Source organism: Homo sapiens, chromosome 3 (genome assembly GCF_000001405.40).
Source record: "Homo sapiens chromosome 3, GRCh38.p14 Primary Assembly".
In the NCBI taxonomy this organism is placed as follows: Eukaryota; Metazoa; Chordata; class Mammalia; order Primates; family Hominidae; genus Homo; species Homo sapiens.
The window spans coordinates 61,550,776-61,574,648 of record NC_000003.12 but is presented as its reverse complement, the minus strand read 5'-3'; the positions used below and the strand labels follow the sequence as shown (position 1 = coordinate 61,574,648).

General features: G+C 45.2%; 1 protein-coding gene across 4 annotated transcripts in view, besides 1 other annotated feature; it reads right to left on the bottom strand.

Annotated features, from left to right (window-relative positions):
• Nucleotides 1–13,078, bottom strand: part of PTPRG (protein tyrosine phosphatase receptor type G) — a 736,039-nt gene extending 722,961 nt beyond the window's left edge. For all 4 annotated transcript variants that reach the window (XM_017006961.2, XM_017006963.2, NM_002841.4 and 1 more), the window contains exon 1: nucleotides 12,277–13,078. In XM_017006961.2, coding sequence (XP_016862450.1) covers nucleotides 12,277–12,361 — 85 coding nt within the window. In that variant the 5' untranslated portion in view covers nucleotides 12,362–13,078. The remainder of the gene's footprint in view (nucleotides 1–12,276) is intronic.
• Nucleotides 14,301–14,976: an enhancer, noted in NCBI's record as "H3K27ac-H3K4me1 hESC enhancer chr3:61545347-61546022 (GRCh37/hg19 assembly coordinates)". NCBI's record gives its function as "activates a minimal SCP1, AML or CMV promoter by ChIP-STARR-seq in primed H9 embryonic stem cells {active_cell/tissue: H9 hESC(primed)}" and the evidence as "EXISTENCE:reporter gene assay evidence [ECO:0000049][PMID:30033119]".

Here is a 23,873-nt window from a genome sequence, read left to right as displayed (position 1 = left end):
GGACTAAGACCTCTAGCATGCAAACCTCTATCACATGAAATAATTTCAGCAGCTTCTGCCCAAATTGACTGACTGGGAAAATGAGAAGCTAGTGCCTAAAACTGTCAAGAGATTTTCTGCACCCTCCACTCGTAACCTTTACACACATGTAAATAAGAGAAAATGACTAGTTTTAGAAGAGAAAACAACTGGTGGGAAGAGGGATAAAACAGGGCAGGCATTGACTAGCAATGTGTTCTAGAAAACTTAGCTTCTGCCTGTGCACATTAGAATCACCATGATGCACCAGCCAACATCTGTCTCATCAAGGGCAGTAGATCTGGTGACCAACTAGTACTTGTCAACCAAGCAAAAATGATCAGCTCAGGCAAGCCCTTCTCCTAGTCCAACCTGCACAAAGCCATTACTGGGCAATGGCATTCATTTTTGCGCTCTACTGTCAGCTGAGGCAAGCTCTGCTGCTCTCTGCATACCTCATTCACTGTTTCTGGAACAAAGCACTAATAAGAGGGCTACCTTCTCCTGAATCACCTAAGAGCCAAGGCCACTTTTGATACAATGACCACCAGATTCACAGAATTTAGCTTAAATTATTCCACAAGAGAGGAAAAAAAAAAAAGGTTTACTACCATTGCAACCATCAAAACATAACCCTGCTGTCCTATAGACATTTGTCCTCTAATTAGAATGGAATCCCGTTCTCAGCAACAGATACCTTAGCAGCCAACAGAAGGTACGAATTTAGCTTCTCTTTTTAAAGATAAACTTCAACCACCATGACAATATATATACTCAGAATTCTCTTAAGGAAGATATTAACCTTGGATAGTGTATCTCTTAAGACACAATATACAAACATGAGATATCTTGAAACTACATACAGTGACATCAATGTCTTCTAAAACATCCTATAATCATTTGAAGAGCATTATCTACTCATTCTGTCAGCCCTCATACATGACTACCACTACTGACACACCAAAGACACAGCACAAGGAGGAATGTGGTCCTGCCCTCAAAGAACATAGCCTAATTTGGCTCTGAATCACATGTGGGGAATTCATGTAAATGTATTGCGTATCACGGTGACCACTTAATGAACATGTACTAAAACAAGGGTGAAGGAATCATCCCCTCAAATCTTCCATCTGTAATAGTCAAAAGCTAGCCACTCTATTGTACAAAGTTCAGGCTTTCGCATGTTGTTGTTGTAAAAATTAAAATGTGCACTATTTCTATCATTTATTGGAAATCCATGTGCAAAAATTAGGAGGGCAGCAATATTGTGTAAAAAAAACTAAGTAGCAAGGGACCCACTAATATGGCATCTCCAATATTAATGTACTCAGATCCTACTCTATTAATAGTCACTGGCTTTCCCCCCCTTGTCCCCCGACATCATACCCCTTCTTGGGCCATCTGATAACAAGAAACTGATCAAGAGAACCAGCTCTTAAATGAGCGATTTTTCAAAACACACTTTTGTCTTAACTGAACAAGCTAACAGAAATTCAAATCAACCAGGGAAGTCAACACATGACTGTGAAATATCCAAGGAGCAGGCCATTTGTAGAGCCAGAAAACGACACAGCCAGGAGAGGTGAGCTTCAGCTTCATAAGCAAGATTGACAGGAAAGAAGTCATGTCATCAGCCAGCAATGCACCTGTGTGCACTAGCGCATGTGCCCACGCACATGGTTATACATGACCAATCCAGGCAATACAAAACCCCAAACAAGCCCAAAGAAAAAATCTGTCCCTCAGGAAAATCACCTATGCTTGGGTGACAAACACCTCCAGGGACCAGCTGAGTATTGTAAATAACCACTACGGGACAGGTGTGTGCCCCATCCCAAGGGGTAGCACTATTTAATTTCAGGTTAATGTTGTTGCCAAGCACTAACATAGGCCCTAGGCTGCTAGACCTTCCTATTTTTCAAGAGTAACCCCACTTTCACGGGAAGCTGTCATGAGGGCCGGGGCTTCCATCTGTTTTGGTCACCATTGTCTCCCCCAGTGCCTAGAACAGCACCTGGCATGCTCTAGGCACCCAGAAACTTGTTGATGGCATGAATGCAAAATGACTGATTTTTAATGCATTCTTAATTTTTAATTTATTTTTTCTTTTAAATGCAGTATGGCCAAAAGAACATCTGTAGAATTCCAGATAACCCAAATAAATGCCTGTCCTTTCTCCATTTCTCCTTTCCAGACACAAGATCCAGAACGAGCTTCGTTTCTCATTTTAGACAAAGACGTCTGCCCCCACCACTCCAATCATAAATCACATTAGATAGTTTTAAACGCTATACACATAACTTTGTTGACATGAGCAAATCTCCATATTTTTTTTAACTTGGTCTCCAGAAGAAATAAGGTTTCATGTTTAAAAAACAAACAAACAAACAAAAACATAGCTTATAGGCATTCCATTAACCAAGTTCCACTCACCACCTTGTCTGCTACTCCCTCAGGATAATCCGTAGCAAGGTTAGCAAGATAATGGAAGGGTTCTCAACGCCTTAGGAAGCAAACCCTCACAGGAAAAAGTCAACAAGTGCACCTCACAAATCACAGTGTGTCCTGGGCATCTGACTTGCATACTGCAAAAAGACCATAACCCTTCCAAACTGCCTAGCCTGGAATCAACAATCTCTAAAATTCCAGAAAAAAATTTTAGAAGCCATTTAGTGAAGGGTGAGGCAAACAACCCGAAAGAAATTGAGGGTCTTGCCCAAGATCCCACAGCTGGTTTGGCTGGCTCCCATGGCTAGTTCCAAACTCCAGAGGAAAAATGCAGAATCCAAGCCATTTCTTGCCAAACACAACACCCTCAGACCTTTCCTGAAGTTATGATTCAGAGCCTGCTGCCCACACTTAGATGATATACATGGGACAGTAAAAATACCGCATTACTACAAAGTAACCATATTCAAAGCCCCAAACAAAAGTTCTCAAATTACAAAGCAAATCAATTTAGGTAATTTGGAAGAGGAGTAGTGTCAAAAAAAAACTCACCACCAACAAATTCAGACTCTATCCACAGTTATTATCAGCTTATTCAGAAGCTAAAGTAATTTGCTGAAAGGTCATCTCTTCAACGTAACCAAATAAAATCCTATACTAATTGCATTACTTACTTATTTAATTGTAGCAAGTACAGGAAGACACCTTTATTCCACCCAGTGTTCATGGCACTTGCTTATATGGGAAAAGTAACAGGGTGAAATACATAAAAAGCTAGATCTTTCAATTGGCCCTCCTGTGCAATTAGGAAAAATAGTTTCCATACTCTCTTCAAAAAGCAAATGGTCTGAAATAAAATTTAAAAAAAATCCTGAGCAATGATTAGAGAAACATATTACAGTCACCGCCCCCCACCGCTCCCCGCGCCTTGCTACCCCGGTGACCTTGGACCTACCTTCTTCAACTTTAGTTTCCTAACCCTACAGTGGAAATAATCATGGTTCATACTTCCAGGGATGATTAAAAGCATATAAAATGCTCAAGCACGGGGCATAGATCACATGTGCTTGGTAAGCGTAGGCTATTATAATTACTATTCCCATTTTATAGATTAAAAGGGTGAGGCCCATTTGCCCAAGGTAAATGCTGTAATGAACTAAGAATTTCAACCCAGGTCTCTGTGGTTTTGGTGTGGATTCTGAATAAGAGATATGTATATCTGAAACTCCCAGAGCCCCAGCGCCACCCAACCCCACTTCCGTAAGATGTTGGGTAACCACCCTTAGCTACCCACAGACAGAGCTAAGCCTCCACACTTACTGAAGAGAAACGCTTCTGGAAAAGTGTCATTTTAAAAACAGGTAGAACTCATTTATAAATAACCACCGCTTTGTAAATAAATCCTTTTGACAATTCTTAAAAAGTTCTCGAGACAACCTTAAAAAGTCAGTAATATTTCCTCACTAATCTGGACTATGCTTTTATGCTTGGTCAATTGCTTATGGCTGTGTCCCCTTATCCAAATCATTCCCAATTAATGAACAGATCTGATTTAAGTGCACTGCAGGATTCATGAGGCAGCAATGCTATGAAAACTCAAATACCTCTTAGATGTATATTGTAACTAGTATGAATTCCTCAAAAGTATATCCACTGCATTATACAACACCCTGCTTCACTCACTTAGAAAGACAGTATCACAGACCCAAAAATAAGACCAGTTGTCCTATTTTCTTACATGGAAGTGTTACATATTCCATGAACTATGCTTTCATTTTTTTCTTTTTTAGTTGCTAGAATTCAGCAGCCAACTGTGTCACTTTGCTACTCCCCAAAAATAGCTAAACTGAGTAGTTTAAAATCACATTTTGTTGTTTGGCCAGAAAAATATCATGCTGATTTCAGTCTGCAAAAAAAAAAAAGAAAAGATTAGAGGGTACGAGGTGTGCATCAGTGTTTGGTTCTCTCTCATATGCTCTGTAGCTCTGAATCCATGAACATATAGAGACAGGACATCAATGTGTTCAAGTGTCACACAAGTGTAAAATAAAAGCAAACACCCAACTACTGTTTGCTTCCCATCAGTGGAGCCAAATTGAATCCCAGTAATGAGTAACCTATTTCCCTCCATTACCACACTGTCCATAAAGCCTGAGAAGAGGAATTAACATCTGAGGGTGCAGGACTAGGCGACTCTTTCTACACAGGGATTTGGAAGACTTATGAGACACATTTTAAGCCCACAGAAAGCATTTTTCCCACTTTAAGCTGAGAAAGCAGAGACCTCCTTTGCAATGTGGGCAAGGTGATATCTCAGACTTCATGAGGACTTTCTCATTTATTTAAACCTCAAAATGTAACCTGTTAGTAATCTTACATAGAATGTCCCCATGCTGATCCCTACTCCTCCTCACCCTCAACAGCAAAGACAGATACAAAAACCCATCACGTATGTTTATACAATTTTTCAAAAAGTTGTCTATACATACAGTTGTCCTTTTCAGTTCCACCGTCCGCTTTCCATACACTCCTATCCAAATCTCTTAAGAACACTTAAAAACGGTGGCCAGGAGCAATGGCTCAGGCCTGTAATCCTAGCACTTTGGGAAGTTGAGGTAGGAGGATCACTTGAGGTCAGGAGTTTAAGACCAGCCTGGGCAACACAGGGAGAGACCCGGTCTCTATAAAAATAAACATATAAAACTTTTGATTTAAAAAAATGGTTATTGAGCACTTACTGTTTACCATGCACAGCACTAAGTCCTTATATACATTCTCATTCAAGCCTCACAAAGACTTTAGGAGTTAGGCTTCTATCACCACCCCATTTCACAGAGGAAGAAAAAAATAATGAGGCACAGAGAGGGTATGTAACTTTTCTAAGGTAGCACGGCTAGCAATGGCACAGGTAGGCTGGCTCCAGAGGCCATATTCTTACCTATTTTGCTATGTTCTGTATAACTCTCAATAGCCACCTAGTTTAGAAAACAAATAGAAAAGCATTAACAAGTTCCAGGCTCCTAAAAGATTTTTCTTCCTGCTACATGCTGACAAAATAGTATGGCAACTCTCATCAACTGGCTGACACATGAAGTTTTCATTCAATGTGTAAGTTACCTCCATCCCCACACCCACCACAAGTACAAGTGAAACACTACCCAATTCCGTTTGGGAGGCTTCCAAAACAGAAACCAGGCACATATAGAAACCTCATCAGCTGTCATTCCTCTTCCTATCCCTGGAAGCACTTAAAACGAATCTTTTTTTTTTTTTTTGAGACGGAGTCTTGCTCTGTCGCACAGGCTGCAGTGCAGTGGTGCAATCTCAACTCACTGCAACCTCTGCCTCCTGGGTTCAAGCAATTCTCCCGCCTCAGCCTCCCGAGTAGCTGGGACTACAGGTGTGCACCACCATGCCCAGCTAATTTTTGTATTTTTAGAAGAGACAGGGTTTCACTATATTGGCCAGGATGGTCTCAATCTCTTGACCTCATGTTCCGTCCGCCTGGGCCTCCCAAAATGCTGGAATTACAGGCATGAGCCACCATGCCAGGCCAAAAAAAAAATTTTTTTTACAGTTGTATTAAGGGCTGCAATCATAAAAACCTTAGGCCTGCATAGATCCAGCAAGCTATCTCACACAGAATATATTTTTCTGTCAAAACACCAAATATCTTGCCACAAATGATACCAGGTGAAATGGTCCCTCCAATTATAGTTGTCCCAATAGAAGGGGACAATCACTCAAGAAGCCCTCTAGCTACTTAAAGCAATCTTGCACAGCCATCACTTATACCTAACAATCCTTTTCATACTGAGTTAACCACAAATTTATCTGTTCTACATCTCAATCATCACAGACTTTCCTGACAGTGAAATTTACCTGTATTACTTTAAGACATCTTTTAAAGAGACATTAACAATCCCATGTTCTTAGAAATTTGCAACAGGCAAATTGTAGGGAAAAGCAAGGAGACGTAAATACAGGTTTCTGGAATATACTTATCCTTTTTATTGATTTTGTTGGTTACAACTCCACATAAACACAATACCAAAAATAAGTCAAAGCCAAGTCCGATAACTCTTTTTTACACAAGTATAGTTGATTTTTTAAGTGCACAGAATGTTGCCCTAGTCCTGGATATAGTTTGTTTCCAAGTAAGATGGTTGCTCCCATTTCTCAGACTGGCAAATGAACTTTTTTTTTTTTTTTTTTTTGAGGCAGGGTCTCACTATGTCGCCCAGGCTGGAGAGCAGTGGCACCATCACAGCTCATTGCAGCCCCAAAGTCCTGTCCTCCACCTCTGGAGTAGCTGGAACTACAGGCGCATACCACCAAGTACAGCTAATTTTTGTATTTTTTGTAGAGATGAGGTCTCACCATGTTGCACATGGCTGGTCTTGAACTCCTGGGCTCAAGCAATCTGCCCACCTGGGTCTCCCAAAGTGCTGAGATGACAGGCATGAGCCACCATGCCCAGCCTACATTTGATCTTTTAATTTTTTTTTTTTTTTTTTGAGACAGGGTCTCACTGTGTCACTCAAGCTGGAGTGCAGTGGCATGATCACAGTACACTGCGGCCTCAACCTCGTGGGCTCAAGCAATCCTCCCATCTTGGCCTCCCAAGTAGTGGGGACAAAAGAGTGCACCCAGCTAATTTTTCTTTTATTATCTGTAGAGGCAGGGTCTCCCTATGTTGCCCTGGCTGGTCTCGAACTTCTGGGCTCAAGTGACCCTCCCGCCTCCCAAAGCACTGTGATTATAGGAGTGAGCCACAGTGCCCAGTTTTATCTTTTAATCATTTGCACAGGCAACCTCATTCTGGGACAAATTCAGTGACTATTGCCAAATCCCACAAGAAGCCCTCACAGAGCAGGCTCTTCTCAGCCCCTCCTGAGTCCCTCCTGAGCCACTCCCTCTACCTCGTCAGTGGCTGCTTAACCTAGATCAAGCTCAGGTGGAAAATTAAAGGTGGGGAGCAGTGTACTCCTTGGCTTCTATAATATTAATAAAACAGCCCTTTTATTCTCTAAACAGGATACAGCCGAAAACAGTTTCAGTGACCACCACCCAACATCTAACAGAGGTCAACTCTGAACCAAAGCAAACCAAGGGCTAATTTCTGGGCACCAAGTGCTTTAGAGGGAACTTCAGATGCCCTAAATTTTTCCCATAAGCTCCGGGTTATGGAATGTGACCACATGAAATGTAACCCAGGATGACAGTATTAACTACAATTGTTTAAATCTCTTAATTCAGAATGTACGCATATTGCAATCTTCAACCTGCCTAGAAATGGCATTTCATTGTCCCACATGCTGAATGGAAATCAAGATTTAAAAAGAACAAACAACGTGTCACTGTAAAAGCAAAGTGTTAAAGCAACAGCCCAGTAGCAATGTAATCCCAGCACTCTGGGAGGCCGAGGTGGGCAGAGCACCTGAGGTCAGGAGTTCAAGACCACCCTGGCCAACATGGCGGCACTCCGTCTCCACAAAATTACAAAAATTAGCTAGGCATAGTGGCACGTGCCTGTAGACTCAGCTACTCAGGAGGCTGAGGCAGGAGAATCGCTTGAACCTGGGAAGTAGAGGTTGCAATGAGCTAGGATCTCACTACTGCACTCCAGCCTGGGTGACAGAGTGAGACTCCATCTCAAAAAAAGAAAAGAAGTCTCCAGGAAAAGGCAGGGAGACAAGGGAGTAGGAGAGGCTCCTGAGTAACTACTCTAGGGCATTTTAAGTGATCTCACGTGAATGCCAAGGAAGTTACTTTCAATCAGCACACAGGTGTATAACTGATTCTACTCTGTTAACTTGGGAGCTGTTTAGAATAGAAAGGCAAATCTGAAAGGGCTGTTTGTTTTGCTGCATTAAATCATCAGCATTCGCTGGATCGCTTCATGTAAACAACAACATAATCTTTTATTCAGTGAAAACAGGTCCATAATTAATGGGAGATACTCAAAGCTTCACTATGGAATAGTCACTTTTCCCACATCAGCCAACCCTTCCTATGACCTTTCTTCTTTCAGCAACAACAGCAACTTCCCCTATTTCCAAAAGGCCCTGTTTATGCCTATCTTTATTAGTGTTTTAAGTCCATCAACCCTCAAATGTGAACACTGTTTAGAAGGAAACATCAAAGATTTTATTCCATAACTGTGTCAAAGGAACCCAGTTTAGAGACTGGGTAAAGATTCTTCATTTTCAAACATGATACATGAGGGAGAGGGAAAAAAAACCTGTACAATCTCACACCCTGTAAAGAGAAAGATTGCTGATTTCCAAATATTACTTTTGCCTTTTCCTAAGGCCATAACGGATGCCCATCAGAACTAAAGCCCGCACATGCAAATAAAATAAGAGACAGCTTAGAGGGAGATTCATGATTCACCCGACATTAATCATGGAGCCTCCAATTCTGACACATCCAAGGTACACAGCTGAGCTTATCCATCTGAACTGTTTCCAATGGCAGCATCCTAGATATAATGTAATTACAATACAAAACATATCAAAACCAGAGTTTCACTCTGAGGGCCGAAAGACAAAAATCAATTAAAAAAAAAATCTGCTGAGCTTGAGAATGTAAACTAGATAAAAGGTTAACACTCTGAAGTAACATATTTTATACTGTGTCAGAGGCAATTAAATTCCCAGTGATTGGAGATATGTATCAGAGTTTGAATGAACTATGTGTAGGATTTGCTTTAAAATAATAAGGTGTTGGGGAGGAAGAGATGAGAGAAGATTGAGTTGTGAGTGTTGAAGTTGGGTGGGGGATCCATTATATTTTGCTATTTTTGTAAACGTTTCTACAGTGCTTTATAAAGATGTATATAGCAATGTAATATGCCTAATATCATGTTTGGTAACACTCTTAGCTTTGCACTTGGAAAGCATCACTTGAAGCATTATTAACCCTGAATGGATCCCAAACCTGCCACACTGCTGTTCAAAGACTAAAATCCACTGTTTCCAATCCACTGGGAAAAAGCTCATGCCAGGGCTGTGTTTCCAAAACCCTGCCCAAACTACAGCTAACCCATATCCTGAACAGGAGCTGAGAACTCAAATGCAACTGAAGAGTTATGCTGAGTTATGATTCTGAGAGGAAACACAAAAATACTAAATAAAAAGGGATTTTGGCTAAGACCTCACAAGGACGACCCTACTCCAAAACAGAAGCATTTTTATCCCTCATGTCAAACAGATAAGCGCTTTCGAGGTCATAGCAGGCAAGAAGTAGGGGTCCCAAGGCTAACTCCAGCCCCCAGCGGGTTTCGAGAAAGCCAGGAGCAGCATCGCCAGGCCGAGGCCGCCGCCTCGCGCCAAGGCGCGTCTGCAGCCCCAGAGCCTGGGAACCCGGGCACGCGCGCCCCATCCCTGAGGCGTGGAGGTGGCCGAGGCCGACCAGTGTGGAGGTGGCAGGAGCCCCACCAGTGGCTCGGGGGCGCCCCCTGAGGTCCAGCGGCGTCGCGGCAACCTCGGAAAACGAAAAGCCAGCGTCTCCCAGAGCTCTGATATTTTAACTTTACCTTGCTCCAAAGCCTGCTGCTCCCTCTCGGGCTGCACTTTTCCAAACCAAACCGCCCTCTTCCCTGCGCCTCCCACCACTGTCCTTTCCCTTTCCCACACCCCTCGGCTCCCGGACCAGGAAAGGGGCTATTTACCTCGCAGCGTGGGCGCGAAAAGAAAATGAGAAGACGAAAATGGTCCAAGCCCCACGAAGGCTGGTTCCCTGGCAGTCCCATTTTGGATCTCAAGCTTCCTCACACACCAGGGAAAAGAAAACCACGGTCAGCCCACTGACTGCATCCCCGAGCGCAAGAAGGACAGAAGTGGAATTGGAAATTCCTCTAATTTGCAAGGCAGCCCTCCACGACCTCCCACTGCACCCATTAAAGAGTGGCCCTCACAAAGCTCAACCCCTGTGTGCACCTGAGCCCGCTCAGTCGTCAAGTCCGTGGTAAAGCAGGGGAGACTAGAAAGGAGAGATGATTAACCCAAATACTGAGCAGTGATCTTTTAGTGAATGAAGGCAGCTGTTTCTAAGGGGAGATGTCCCCATGGCCTACACTACCGTAGAGGCCGTAGAGGCAGGACTCCAGTGGGCAAACCCCAGGCCCCAGTGTCCTACCGTAGAGGCAGGACTCCAGTGGGCAAACCCCAGGGTGAGTGTGGACGCACGTCCTAGCTCGGCCTCCGAGCTGCGTTTCTGGGCTGGAGCTCCGTGCCGCTCCGCGGGCAGGAGGATGCGCAGAGAGAAAAGGGGGTGCAGAATACCAGACGGTGTTTTCCCTTTCTGCCCCTCGAGGCCATCCCCGATTCTGCAAAGGGGGCATTCGCTGCCAGTCCCCCGAGGGGATCCCCAAGGGCGACGAGGGCTCCCGCGCGCCCTGCTCCGGGTCGCACGACGGGACTAAGGGACCCGCTGCACCAAAAACGGGCGCTCCAGCCGCCCGAGGACAGGCGTCTGTAACCAGGCAGAGCGGAGACCTCGGGGCACATTCCTCTTTTTCTTGATTCAGATAACCTCCACCTCCGGGTATGCAGGAGTTGATGGATGAGAGGGCAGAAAAACGGGGAATTCTCTGTCCTTAGGGGAGCGAGGGATGAAAAGCAAATCACCCCTTCTTCCAGCCCTTCCCCGGGCTAGGGCAGGACTTGGCCTCCACCCCAAGGGACAGCTACGAGGGAGCTCGGGGCTGCTGCCCGGGGGACCTGCAAGAGAGGAGAGGGAGGCAGCTGGCCTCTGCCCTCCCCAGGGGAGAGAGGAGGGGGAACTGCCAGCTGAGAGCTGGAAGTGGAGGGTCGCCGAGCCGCACACCGTTACGTGCGGTGATTTATTCTTATCAACGGCCAGTATTGTTCCTGTCTTAACCTGGCCAGAAAGGAGCGAGACTGGGTCTGCCAGCCGCGAACAGCCTGCAAAAGGGCAAAGATGAAGGTAGGCAGGGCGCGCGAGACAGGAAAAAAATCAGCCCCGGCGCGAACAGCAACCCGGCCGCCGAAACCGCCCCGGCCGCCGAAACCGCCCCCGCCCCCTCCCCGCGTCCAGACCCAGGCAATCCAATCGAGCAGAGCAGCGGAGGGAAAGGGCCACGGGCCGGGGCTAGGGGAGACACGGATCTCTCCGAAACCGCCTGCGCCCTGCCGTCTCACTGCGCCCAAGGAGGCTGCCTCACGCCGGCACCGAAGTGCTGCCCGCGCCCCAGCCCCCAGAGAGAGGGAGGACGCCCCCGACCCAGAACGCAGGCTGCTCCCCACACATCCTCAGTCCTCCGCAGCCAGCCTCCGACTTCCATTCCCCGAAACCTAGCCCTCCCAAAGGGATGGAGAACAGCAAAGCAAACCCCCACCTTCTGAGTTCCTTCAATACCCGCCAGAGCGAGGGGGCTCATCCCGGGCCCCCCAAACCCACAGAAGCATCCTTTCCATGGCCTCAGTCTCCCCAACCGCCCCACAACTCGAGTTCTCCCGATCGGCGACGAGTCAGCAAAGCAAGTCCCCCTTTCTCCCGATTCCAGCTCCCCAGGACCCCCAAAAGGGAGCGGGAGCAGACCCCCGCGTCCCCCAGCCCCCTCCCCGGCCAGCCCCTGCCTCCACCTTCCTCGACCACTAGCCTGCCTCCCTAAACATCATCCAAGCCAGCGGAGCAATCCTTTTCTCCTATCCGGGCGCCGGGCCACCCTCCACCCTCTCCAGGGTCTCCCGGACGGGCGCCGGAGCTCCGCGCCCAGGCGACAACTCCGCATCCCCAACGCGCGCCGGCCGGGGCCGCATCCCCTCGGCGGCCGGCACTCACCGGGGAAGCACACGACATAATGGAGCACGGAACTGGTGATTTTCAGGAACAAAATCCACCAACACGGTTCCAGTAACCTCCGCATGTCCGAAAACGCACATCGAAAAGAGGAAAGCAGGGAGGTAAACTTGTTGAATAAGTTCTTGCCTCCGTGCGAGCCTCCGCTAAGCCGGGGCGCTTCCCCGGCTCGCCCGCTCCACGGGCCCCCCGCGCTCGGCGGCCCGAGTCCCCTTGGAATCCGGGAAGCCGCCGAGCGCCCCCCGGAAAATCTCAAAAAGTGACCGGGAACGCAGAGCCACGCTGGGGACGATCCTCTCGGCGGAGAAAGGCTGCTTTCCGTTTAAAAAGGAGAGAGCCGATCGGGCAGGGCGCGGAGTCGGCGGCCGGCGGCGATGCCCCGGGCCTGGGGCAGGCAGGGACCGCGGGCGGCGGCGGCGAGCAGCCGAGGATCCCCAACTTGAGTCGGCAGCGCAGCACAGCCCGAGAGCCGGCGGGCGGCGGCGGGGCTGAGCGCGGCGCGGCGTCTCCGGGCTTCAGGCAGGCAGCTCCTTCCAGGGCCCCGGGAAGGAAGGAGGCATGTTTGCGAGAGGGGAAGGGGAGGGGAGAGGCAGGGGGAGCGGAGAGCCCCCCAAAATAGAAACGGCCGGAGGAAACGGAGGAAAACACAAAGGATCTCAGAGGGGCGCTGGGGCGAGGGCGCCTTCAGTCCATGCTCCTGAAAGTTGTGGCTCCGGCGCAGGCTGGGAAGGAACGAAGAGCGCGGGGCTGGAAACTGGCCATGCCTCCATACAGGAAGTAACATGTGAGCATGGATCCTGGCAGAGACTTTAAAGCCGGCGAGCGAAGGAGCGAGCGAACAGGGGGCGCGCGGTGGCGGCGGGGGCGCGCAGCCCGGGCCAGCTGGCGGCGGGCGCGCGCTCTCCGCGTTCTTAAAGCAGCCGCGCTTGGCTCCCGCCTTGCGCTGGGTCCCTCGGCTCTGCTCTCTCCGCGCGGCCTCTACTGGGACAGTTTGGGGACTGGGGGCGATTGTAGCCCGTGCGCGGAGAGAGGAGGGAGGCTGCCTTCTGGGGCCGGCTTGTTTTTTGCTGGATTCCCGTTGTTCGAGCTCTTAAAAGACGCCGCACGGTGCTCGGGTTTGGCGAGATCCTCCGCGCAGCTCGCGGATCCCGGACTTGAGGGGCCCCTCGCCCTGGCGAGGGGAAAGGGGGAGGGCGGACAGCTGCCTTTTTAAAGCGATGGGGTTTTCTGTTCGGCTTCACTGCCCTGGCATTTGCAGCGGTGAGGCTCACCGTCTGCGGCTCCTGTTCGCGCCTCCAACACAGCGCATTCCCCCGCCGGGAAACAAAGCCGAGCGGCCTTTGCACTCCGGCTACATTGAGATTTAATTTTTTTTTTTTTTCTTTTTCGGGCTTTCATTGGCCCAGTCCAAGGCTGGGGAAAGTGGGGGAGGGGAGGAATGTCGATCCCAGGATTGCGAAATCTAGCCCTTCCGAGCCCCGCATCCCCTTTCCCGGCGCCACGATGGATCGGTGGCGGAGTTTCCCCAACTCGCAGCTTCTCTGGAGAAGGTTCCCGCACCCCGGTTTGGCCGCGGGGAGGGCGCAGGAAGTGCGCCTCTTACACCCTGCAGGGTGAAAGCAGCGCCGCGGGGCCGGACTGATTTCCTGGCAGCTACCCGGGGAGCGGCTGCTTCTTTAGCAATCGGGGAGAGGCGTCCGGGGGAAATGGGAGGACTAGGCTTATCTGTAATGAGTTTTGTCCCTTGGCTCTCGGTAAGAAGATCTTTATCGCTTAGACTTCTAAGCGCCCTATTTTACATTCTTAACGCTGGGGCTAAAAGTGGGGGAGGCGGGCTTTCGAGTAAATGTGTAACTGAGCCAAGGTAATTAGCCGTTTGACATTTTTTGCCTAATTTTTCTGCCTGTGTTTCAAAGCGATCTTGACGTGGGATTGTTTTGTTTTGTTTTGAGACGGAGTCTCGCTCCGTCGCCCAGGCTGGAGTACAGTGGCTCGATTTCGGCTCACTACAACCTTCGCCTCCCGGGTTCGGGCGATTCTCCTGCCTCAGCCTCCCGAGTAGCTGGGACTACAGGCGCCCGCCACCACGCCCGGCTGATTATTTTTTTGGTGGTTTTTTTTGTTTGTTTTTTGTTTTATTTTGGTTTTTTTTGTAGAGGCGGGGTTTCACCGTTTTGGCAAGGCTGGTCTCGAACTCCTGACCTTGTGATCCGCCTGCCTCAGCCTCCCAAAGTGCTGAGATTACAGGCGTGAGCCACCGCGCATGGTTCTTGTGTTTTAAACGTGTCCCTGCTGTTTCATCCCAACACGGCAGGGTCCTCCACCCACCCAAACATCCCAACCGGATGCTAGGTTTTCAAATAAAGTACAGATGGTCGGAGATCCTCCCGTTCGATGTGATTAAGGAAGCATTTTCACACCCACACTTCCAAAAGAAAAACCTTTGAAAAGTTACGTATGGGATTACAAACTAATAAAAGCCAGGAAGTTCCTGGGGAGGGCCCTAGCTCTATCTTTAGCAGAACGGGGGTGAACACCCTCCCCCAGGGTGGGGAATGAGGCGAGTTTGTTTGCTTTGGAATGTGGTCCTTCCTGGTTTTATTGGAATCCTGACTTCTTTATAAAGGATTGCGAGGGCCATTTTTCTTGGAAGTGTTGTAATGAGGGATATTCGTTCCTCAAGTTAGATTACCCCAGCATCCCTGACTACCTTCTTAATGTCGAGTGATAAAATAGGAAAAACTCGTCAAATACTTGTGTCAGCGTCCTCAGGTGAGGTTTCCTCCTCTGTGAAATGGACAGTAAAAGCTGTCCTTTGTGGAATGCTTACTGTCTACCAGGCATTGTGCTGAATTCATGCCATAAACTGCTTGCTCATTCAACAAATGTATTGAGCACCTACTGTTTGAGGGACACACTGGGAACACAGCCTCGAACAAAAAGGGCAAGCCCCCATGCCTTATGGGAGCATACCTTCCTAAGTCCATGCTCCGTTCTCTCATGGAGTTCTTAAAATACTGCCAGCTGTGAGAATTATTTTCCCCATTTAATAGACAAGGAAACATGCTCAGAAGAGTACAATGATGGATCCTCAGCTAGTGGGCAGCAGAGCTGAGATTCTCAACCCAGGCCTGTTTGCCTCCACAGCTGTGATTCAAGGCAACAGAATAATGGCTTGAGAAGGCACCAAAATGTGGAATGTAAAAAAAGAGCTTCAGAGTCGGGGAAAACCTCATATGGGTTTGCAGAGTGAATTACCACTACCTTAGTAGTGTAGGAGGCCCCATGCTAAAACTTCACATCCAATTCGGTATGGACTGGTGACTGTCCTAGGACCCCAGGCTGAAGGTTACCCCCAAACTACCCTTGGAAGCACAATCCAGGCCCCACCAGTTCCTACAAAAGATAAAATTTTGCAAACATACATCACAGATGCCTTTTCATTTATTCTGCAACCAATTACAGAGCGATTCATATATAATAGACACTTTCAAGTGCTAGTCACACAATAATGACCTAGCAGTAGCCCTGCCATGCTCCTACCTGGTAATTACAATCCTAACCCAGGTGATATGGGAGCTCTATGATAACAGTGAGCAAGTTGGTGTGAAAAGCCCTGGGAGTGCCAAAGGAGGGAGAGCCTAGCTACCCTGATGGAAGATAAAAAGGCTACAAAGAGAAGATGCTGACGTTAGTAACAAATGACCCTCAAATTTAGCAGCTTAAAAAAATATATACTCATTGCCTGTCACTTTTAGAGGTGAGAAGCTGGGGCACAGTATGGCTGGGTCCTCTGCTCAAGGGCTCATCAGGCTGAAATCAAGGGATGGGCCAGGCTTTCTCATCTGGAGCTTGGGCTCCTCCTTCAAGCACATTCAGGTTATTGACAGAATTCAGATCCTTGTGGTTGTAGGACTGAGATTACTATTTTCTTGATGGCTGTTGGCCAAGGGCTGCTTTCAACTAGTGGTCTAAGCCACACGGCGCCCTCACAACATGGCAGCTTACTCCTTGAAAGTCAGCAGGAGAATCCTCCTACAGGAGTCTAGAGAGTGACCGTTTCATCACTTTTGTCATATAATGTAACCTAGTCAAGGGAGTGGCTATCCTGTCATGTTCACAGGTCCCACCCACTTTCAAGAAGAAGGAATTATATGCCAAGGGTTGGGGATCTTGGGGACCATGTTAGAATCCTGCCTACCATAGTGCTGGTGACCTATTTTGAATATAGACTGGAGGTTAAAGGCAGTAGCTTTCAAGCCAGTCTAGTTAGATTCTGATGCTACTCATATATGCATGACCATAGGCAACTTAATCACTTTATGCCTTGGCTTCCTCATTTGTAAAGTAGGAATACTATAATAACCATACATCTTCCTAAATAGAGAAGAATAAGAGGAATTAATATACATAAACTATTCAGATCAGTGCTGGGAACCTAATAAGCATTTAATAAGTATAAGCTATTACTGTTATCTGTTTACCCAGCCTATGTAATAAGAAGTGAACATCTGTTATTTTCTACCTGCTCAGCGTCCATTTCTTTTCTTCTAGTAATAGTGTCCCAGTTTTCCTTTGTGCCAGTCTCCCCAGATGGTCTTGGTGAGCCTAACCCTTTCTTCCCCTATCCCTACCTCCACCTCTCCACTTCACTGGGTTAGGTGGACACGTGCCCTAGTCCTGACCAAATGGAGCATTTCATCCCTCTGACCAGACTGGTCTAGGGATGGGCACATATTTCTAGTAGGTCCAATGAAAGTCAAACTTCCTTTTAGGTTTGCCAGGCCAGATCAACTTAAACCTCATACTGCAAGGAGGGCCCTCACTTGGGGCAAGCCCATCTGAGAATCTGACACAAGAAGAAAAAAAGAATACAGAGGTGGGGGCCAACAAATCCCTGATACCTTCATTTGAGTCCTTGAATCAAGTCATACCTGAAGCCAAACCAACTCCTTGACTTGTCAGTTACTTGAGCTAATAATTTCCTCTTATTCCTATCCCTTACGTTTTTATTCATTAAAACTGAAAACCTGAAACCTGGAACCAGTGGTGACAGATGAGTAAAATATCTACATTTTACAAAAAAGGAAGCAGGGGCTGTTAGAATTAAGTGATTTAGTTGAGGCAATTCAGACTGTAAACAACAGAAGACTCAAGCTTTTAACATTCTTCTGTATCAATCATTTATTGTTGTGTAACAAATCACTTCAAAACGTAGTAGCTTAAAACAGTAGGACAGAAGTTTGGGGTGGGCTCAGCTGAGTAGTTCTTCTGTTGGTTCTGTGTGAGGTCACTCATGCATCTATAGCACCAGAATCCAGATGCTCAGCTGGGGCTTCGTAGTCTAAGATTCCCTGACTCAAATGCCTGGCAATTCGTGCTGGCTGTTGGTTGGAGCATCTCAGACCTCACCCACTAATCTCTATAGCAGCCTGTCTCAGACTTATTTACAAAAAGATCTCAGGTAGGAGAGTGAGAGTGAAAATTGCAAGGCACCTGGAGACCTAGACTTAGTAGTTGTGTGAAATTACTTCCATTTCATTTGACTGGTCAAAGCAAGACAAGGCCAGGGCAGATTCAAGAGGAGGTGGAAATGGACTCCAGTTCTTGATGGGAGAAGCAGCAAAGTCAGGAAGCAAAAGGACATGAATAGAAAGGTAGGAGGAAATTTGTGGCCTTCTATACAAACAATCTACTTCATCTACTGTTAAAAGTGAGTAGTGCCTGTTATGGGTTGAATTATTGTGAAGTAATGTTGAAAGAAGGTATCTAACCCTTAGAAGCTCAGGATGTGAACTTATTTGGACATATGGTCATTCCAGAGGTAATGTAGTTAAAATGAGGTCCTTAGTGTGGGTCCTAATCGAATATGACTGGTGTCTTCATAGAAAAGGGAAGTTTGGGCACAGACACAGACAAGCACACAGGAAAGATGAGGGGAAGACACAGGAAGAAGACAGCCATGTGATTGGAGTGATGCATCTACAAGCCAAGGAACACCAAGTATTGCCAGCAAACACCAAAAGCTAGGAAGAGGCAAAAACTTCCCTTACAGATTTCAGAGGGAGCATAACCCTGATGACACCTTCATTTTAGATTTCTAGCCACCAGAATTGTGAGACATTGAATTCCTGTTGTTTTAAGCCATTTAGTTGGATGTACTTAGTTACATCAGCCCTAGGAAATAAATACAAAGCCCATTTACCTTTTACCCTTCGTTTGTTTTCATGTATAGACAAAACACATTTGTGACTGGGCTTTCAACTTCTCAAGTGAATGTTTGTACAACAACAACAAAACCCATTGTAATCATCCTAACTTTAAATTTTGAGGCAATGTTTATTTTAAAGAACTTAAGACTTAGCAAAGCCTATTTATTCTGAAAATATATATAACCATAGAAAATCTCTTAAGTCCCCTAATAATAACTTTTGTCATTACAAAAAGCCCTATATTCAGTGGCTGAAAGAAAATGAACATGCAGTGGCATTTTTTTTTTTTTTGAAACAGAGTCTTGCTCTGTTGCCCAGGCTGGAGTACAGTGGCACAATCTCAGTTCAATGCAACCTCCACCTCCTGGATTCAAGCAGTTCTCCTGCCTTAGCCTCCTGAGTAGCTGGGACTACAGGCGTGCACCACCACGCCCAGCTAATTTTTTGTATTTTTAGTAGAGATGGGGTTTCGCCATGATGGCTAGGCTGGTCTCAAACTCCTGGCCTCAAGTGATCTGCCTGCCTCCGCCTCCCAAAGTGCTGGGATTACAGGCGTGAGCCACTGCACCCGGCCATATAGTGGTGTTTTAATACACTATTTAACAAGTAGGATTAAGTTTGGGTGTGGTGGCTTATGCCTGTCATCCCAACATTTTGGGAGGCCAAGATGGGGGGATCACTTGAGCCCAGGAGTTCAAGACCAGCCTGAGCAACATAGTGAGACCCCAGTCTCTTAAAAAAAAAATTAGCCAAGCTTAGTGGTGTGTGGCTATACTCCCAGCTACTCAGGAGTCTGAGGTGAGAGGATCTCTTGAGCCTGGGAAATTGAGGCTACAGTGAGCTGTAATTGCAGCACTGCACTGCAGGCTGGGTGACAGAGCTAGACGCTGTCTAAAAAAAAAGGATTAAATAGTCATAGCAAATATGACTGGTAAGGCTCTTTTACATTAAAGATAGATTAAAGAAAACTACATGATCCTATCAATTAAAGCAGAAAAGGTATGTGACAAAATTCAACATTCATTCATGATAAAAACTCTCGGTTAACTAGGAAGAGAGGAGGTTCCTTAACATAATAAAGGACATCTATTAAAAAAAAACCCATAGCTAAACTTATACAAGTCTGAATTCTTTGCTTCCAAAACTGGAAACAAGGCAAGGATATTCATTTTCACCACTCTTTTTTTTTTTTTTCCTCACTCAGGGTAAATAATACATTCTCAGCACTCTTATTCAACATTATTCTGGAAATTCTAGCCAGTACAATAAGACAACAAAACAAACAAAAAAAACCGTATATATTAGAAAGCAAGAAATAAAACTGCCCCTATACAGATGACATGATTATCTGCATAGTTCCCAGTGAGTTTAGCAAGGTTGTAGGATGCAAGGTCAACCTACAACAATTATTTTTGTGTCTATATATGAGCAGCAAAAGATTGAAAACTAAAATTCAAAAAAACTCATTTACGATAAACTCCCCAAAATGAAATACTTTAGTATAAACCTAGCAACATATGTGTAGGATTAGTATGTAGAAAACTATAAGCTGCTCATGAAATAAGTCAAATAAAAACTAATTAAATGAGAAATATACTATATTCATGGGTTGGATGACATTATAGTCAAATATACATTTTCAATAAATCTATGCATTTGTGCATTTCCACTTTTTGTAGATACAGACAAGGTGATAATAAATTTATATAGAAAAGCAAAGGAACTAGACTAGCAAAGCAATTATGAAAAAGAAGTTAGAAGCCTCACATTACTTGACTGTAAGACTTACTATAAAGGTTCATTAATCAAGCCAATATGGTATTGGTGGAGTTATAGATACATGAAATAATGAAATAAAATAGAGAACCCACAAATAGGCCCACATAATATTGCCAATTGATTTTTACAAAGATGCAAAGGCAATTTCATATAGTGAGGATAGTTTTTTTCAACAAAACATATTAGAACAATTGGACATCCATATGCAAAAAAAAAAAAATCCTCAGCCTATACCTCACATCTTATGGCAAAAATTTTTTTTTTTTTTTTGAGACGGAGTCTTGCTCTGTCACCCAGGCTGGAGTGCAGTGGCGTGATCTTGGCTCACTGGAAGCGCTGCCTCCCGGGTTCATGCCATTCTGCTGCCTCAGCCTCCCGAGTAGGTGGGACTACAGGCGCCCACCACCACGCCCGGCTAATTTTTTTGTATTTTTAGTAGAGACGGGGTTTCACTGTGTTATCCAGGATGGTCTCAATCTCCAGACCTCGTGATCCGCCCGTCTCGGCCTCCCAAAGTGCTGGGATTACAGGCGTGAGCCACCGCGCCCGGCCAGCAAAATTAACTAAAATAGAATATAAGTTTAAATGTAAAACATAAAACTACAAAAAATTTAGAAGTCGTAGGAGAAAATCTTTATGTCATTGAGTTAGCAAAGAGTTCTCCAATAAGACACCAAAAGCACAATCCATAAAAGAAAAAAATGATAAATATAACTTCATCAAAATAGGATGGGTATGGGGGCTCACACCTGTAATCCCAGAACTTTGGGAGGCAGAAGCAGGTGGATCACTTGAGTTCAGAAGTTCGAGACCAGCCTGACCAACATGGTGAAACCCCGCCATCTCTACTAAAAATACAAAATTTAGTTGGGCATGGTGGCATGCACTTGTAATCTCAGCTACTCAAGAGGTTAAGGCACAAGAATCACTTGAACCTGGGAGGCAGAGGTTGCAGTGAGCTGAGATGGTGTGACTGCACTCCAGCCTGGGTGACAGACTAAGACTTTGTCTCAAAAAGAGAGAAAAAAACAAAAAAAAAACTCTGAAAGAGCACAAATTGACAAACAAATGTCACAATTTAAGGAACTAGACGAAAAAAGAACAAACCAAACCCAAAGCCAGCAGAAAAGAAATAACAAAGATCAGAGCAGAACTAAATGAAATTGAAACAAACAAACAAAAACACAAAAGATAATAAAACAAAAAGCTGGTTCTTTGAAAAGATAAACAAAATTGATAGACCATTAGCAACATTAACTTAAAAAACAAGAGAGAAGATCCAAACAAGCTCAATTAGGAATGAAACTGGAGGCAAGGCATGGTGGCTCAGGCCTGTAATCCCAGCAGTTTGGGAGGCCGAGGTGGGTGGGCCACCTGAGGTCAGGAGTTCAAGCCTGGCCAACATGGTGAAACCCCGTCTCTATTAAACATACAAAAATTAGCTGGACGTGGTGGCTCATGGCTGTAATCCCAGCTACTTGGCAGGCTGAGACAGGAGAATCGCTTGAACCTGGGAGGCGGAGGTGGCAGTGAGCTGAGATCGCGCCATTGCACTCTAGCCTGGGCAACAAGAGCGAAACTCCATCTTAAATAAATAAGTAAATAAATGAAACTGGAAATATTGCCAACAATACCACAGAAATACAAAAGATCATTCAAGGCTACTAAGTCCACCTTTACATGCACAAACTAGAAAATCTAGAGAAGAAGTATAAATTCCTGGTAACATACAACCCTCCTAGATTAAATCAGGAAGAAATAGAAATTTTGAGCAGAGCAATAACAAACAATGAAATTGAATCGGTAATAAACAAATTGCCAACAAAAAAAGTCCAAGAACAGATGGATTCACAGCTGAATTCCATCAGATATTCAAAGAAGAATTAGTGCCAATCATACTGAAACTATTTCAAAAGGTAGAGAAAGAGGGAATTCTCCCTAAATCATTCTATGGAGCCACTCATCACCCTAATACCAAGATGAGGAAAGGACATTAAAAAAAAAAAAGAAAAGAAAACCCATATCCCTGATGAACATAGATGCAAAAATCCTCAAGAAAATTCTAGCTAACTGAATCCAACAGCAAATCCGAAAAATAATACATTATGATTGAGCAGGTTTCATCCCAGAGATGCAGGGGTTGTTTAATATACGCAAATCAACAAATGTGATATATCACATAAACAGAATTAAAAACAAAAACCATATGATCATCTCAATAGACAACAGGAAAAGCATTTGATAAAATCCAGCATCCCTTTATGATAAAAACCCTCAACAAAATAGACATAAAAGGGACTTACCTCAAAGTAATAAAAGCCATATTTGACAAACCCATAGGCAACATACTGAATGGGGAAAAGTTGAAAGCATTCCCCCTGAGAACTGGGACAAGACAAGGATGTCGACTTTCACCACTTCTATTCAACATAGTACTGGAAGTCTTAGCCAGAGCAATCAGGCAAAAGAAAGAAAGAAAGGGAATCCAAATTGGAAAAGAGGAAGTCAAACTGTCACTGTTCACTGATGATATGATCATATACGTAGAAAACTCTAAGGACTCATCCAAAAGGTTCCTAAAGTCAAGCCTCAGATTACAAAATCGATGCACACAAATCAGTAGCACTGCTACACACCAACAATGACCAAGTTGAGAATCAAATTAAGAACTCAATCCTTTTTACAACAGCTGCAAAAAAGTAAAAATAAAATACCTAGGAATATATTTAACCAAGGAGGTGAAAGTTCTCTACAAGGGAAACTACAAAACACTGCTGAAAGAAATCACAGATGACACAAACAAATGGAAATAGAGTCCATGCTCATGGATGGGAAGAATCAATATTGTGAAAATGACCATACTGCTCAAAGCAGTCTACAGATTCAATGCAATTCCCATCAAAATACCATCATCATTTTTCACAGAACTAGAAAAAAATCCTAAAATTAATACGAAATCAAAAAAGAGCCCACATAGCCAAAGCAATACTAAGCAAAAAGAACAAATCTGGAGGTATTACATTACTGGACTTCAAATTATGCTACAAGGCTATAGTTACCAAAACAGCATGGTACTGGTATAAAAATAGGCACTTACACTAATGGAACAGAATAGGGAATGCAGAAATAAAGCCAAATACTTACAGCCAACTGATCTTCCACAAAGCATACAAAAACATAAATTGGTGAAAGGACACCCTATTCAATAAATGGTACTATGAAAACTGGCAAGCCACGTGTAAAAGAATGAAACTGGATCACCATCTCTCACCTTATACAAAAATCAACTTAAGATGGATTAAAGACTTGAATCTAAGACCTGAAACCATAAAAATTCTAGAATATAACATTGGAGAAACTCTTCTGGACATTGACTTAGGCAAAGACTTTATGACTAAGAACCCAAAAAACAGGCCAGGCATGGTGGCTCACGCCTGTAATCCTAACACTTTGGGAGGCCGAGGCAGGTGGAATACGAGGTCAGGAGTTCAAGACCAGCCTAGCCAACATGGTGAAACCCCGTCTCTACTAAAAGTACAAAAATTAGCTGGGCATGGTGACGCACGTCTGTAATCCCAGCTACTCAGG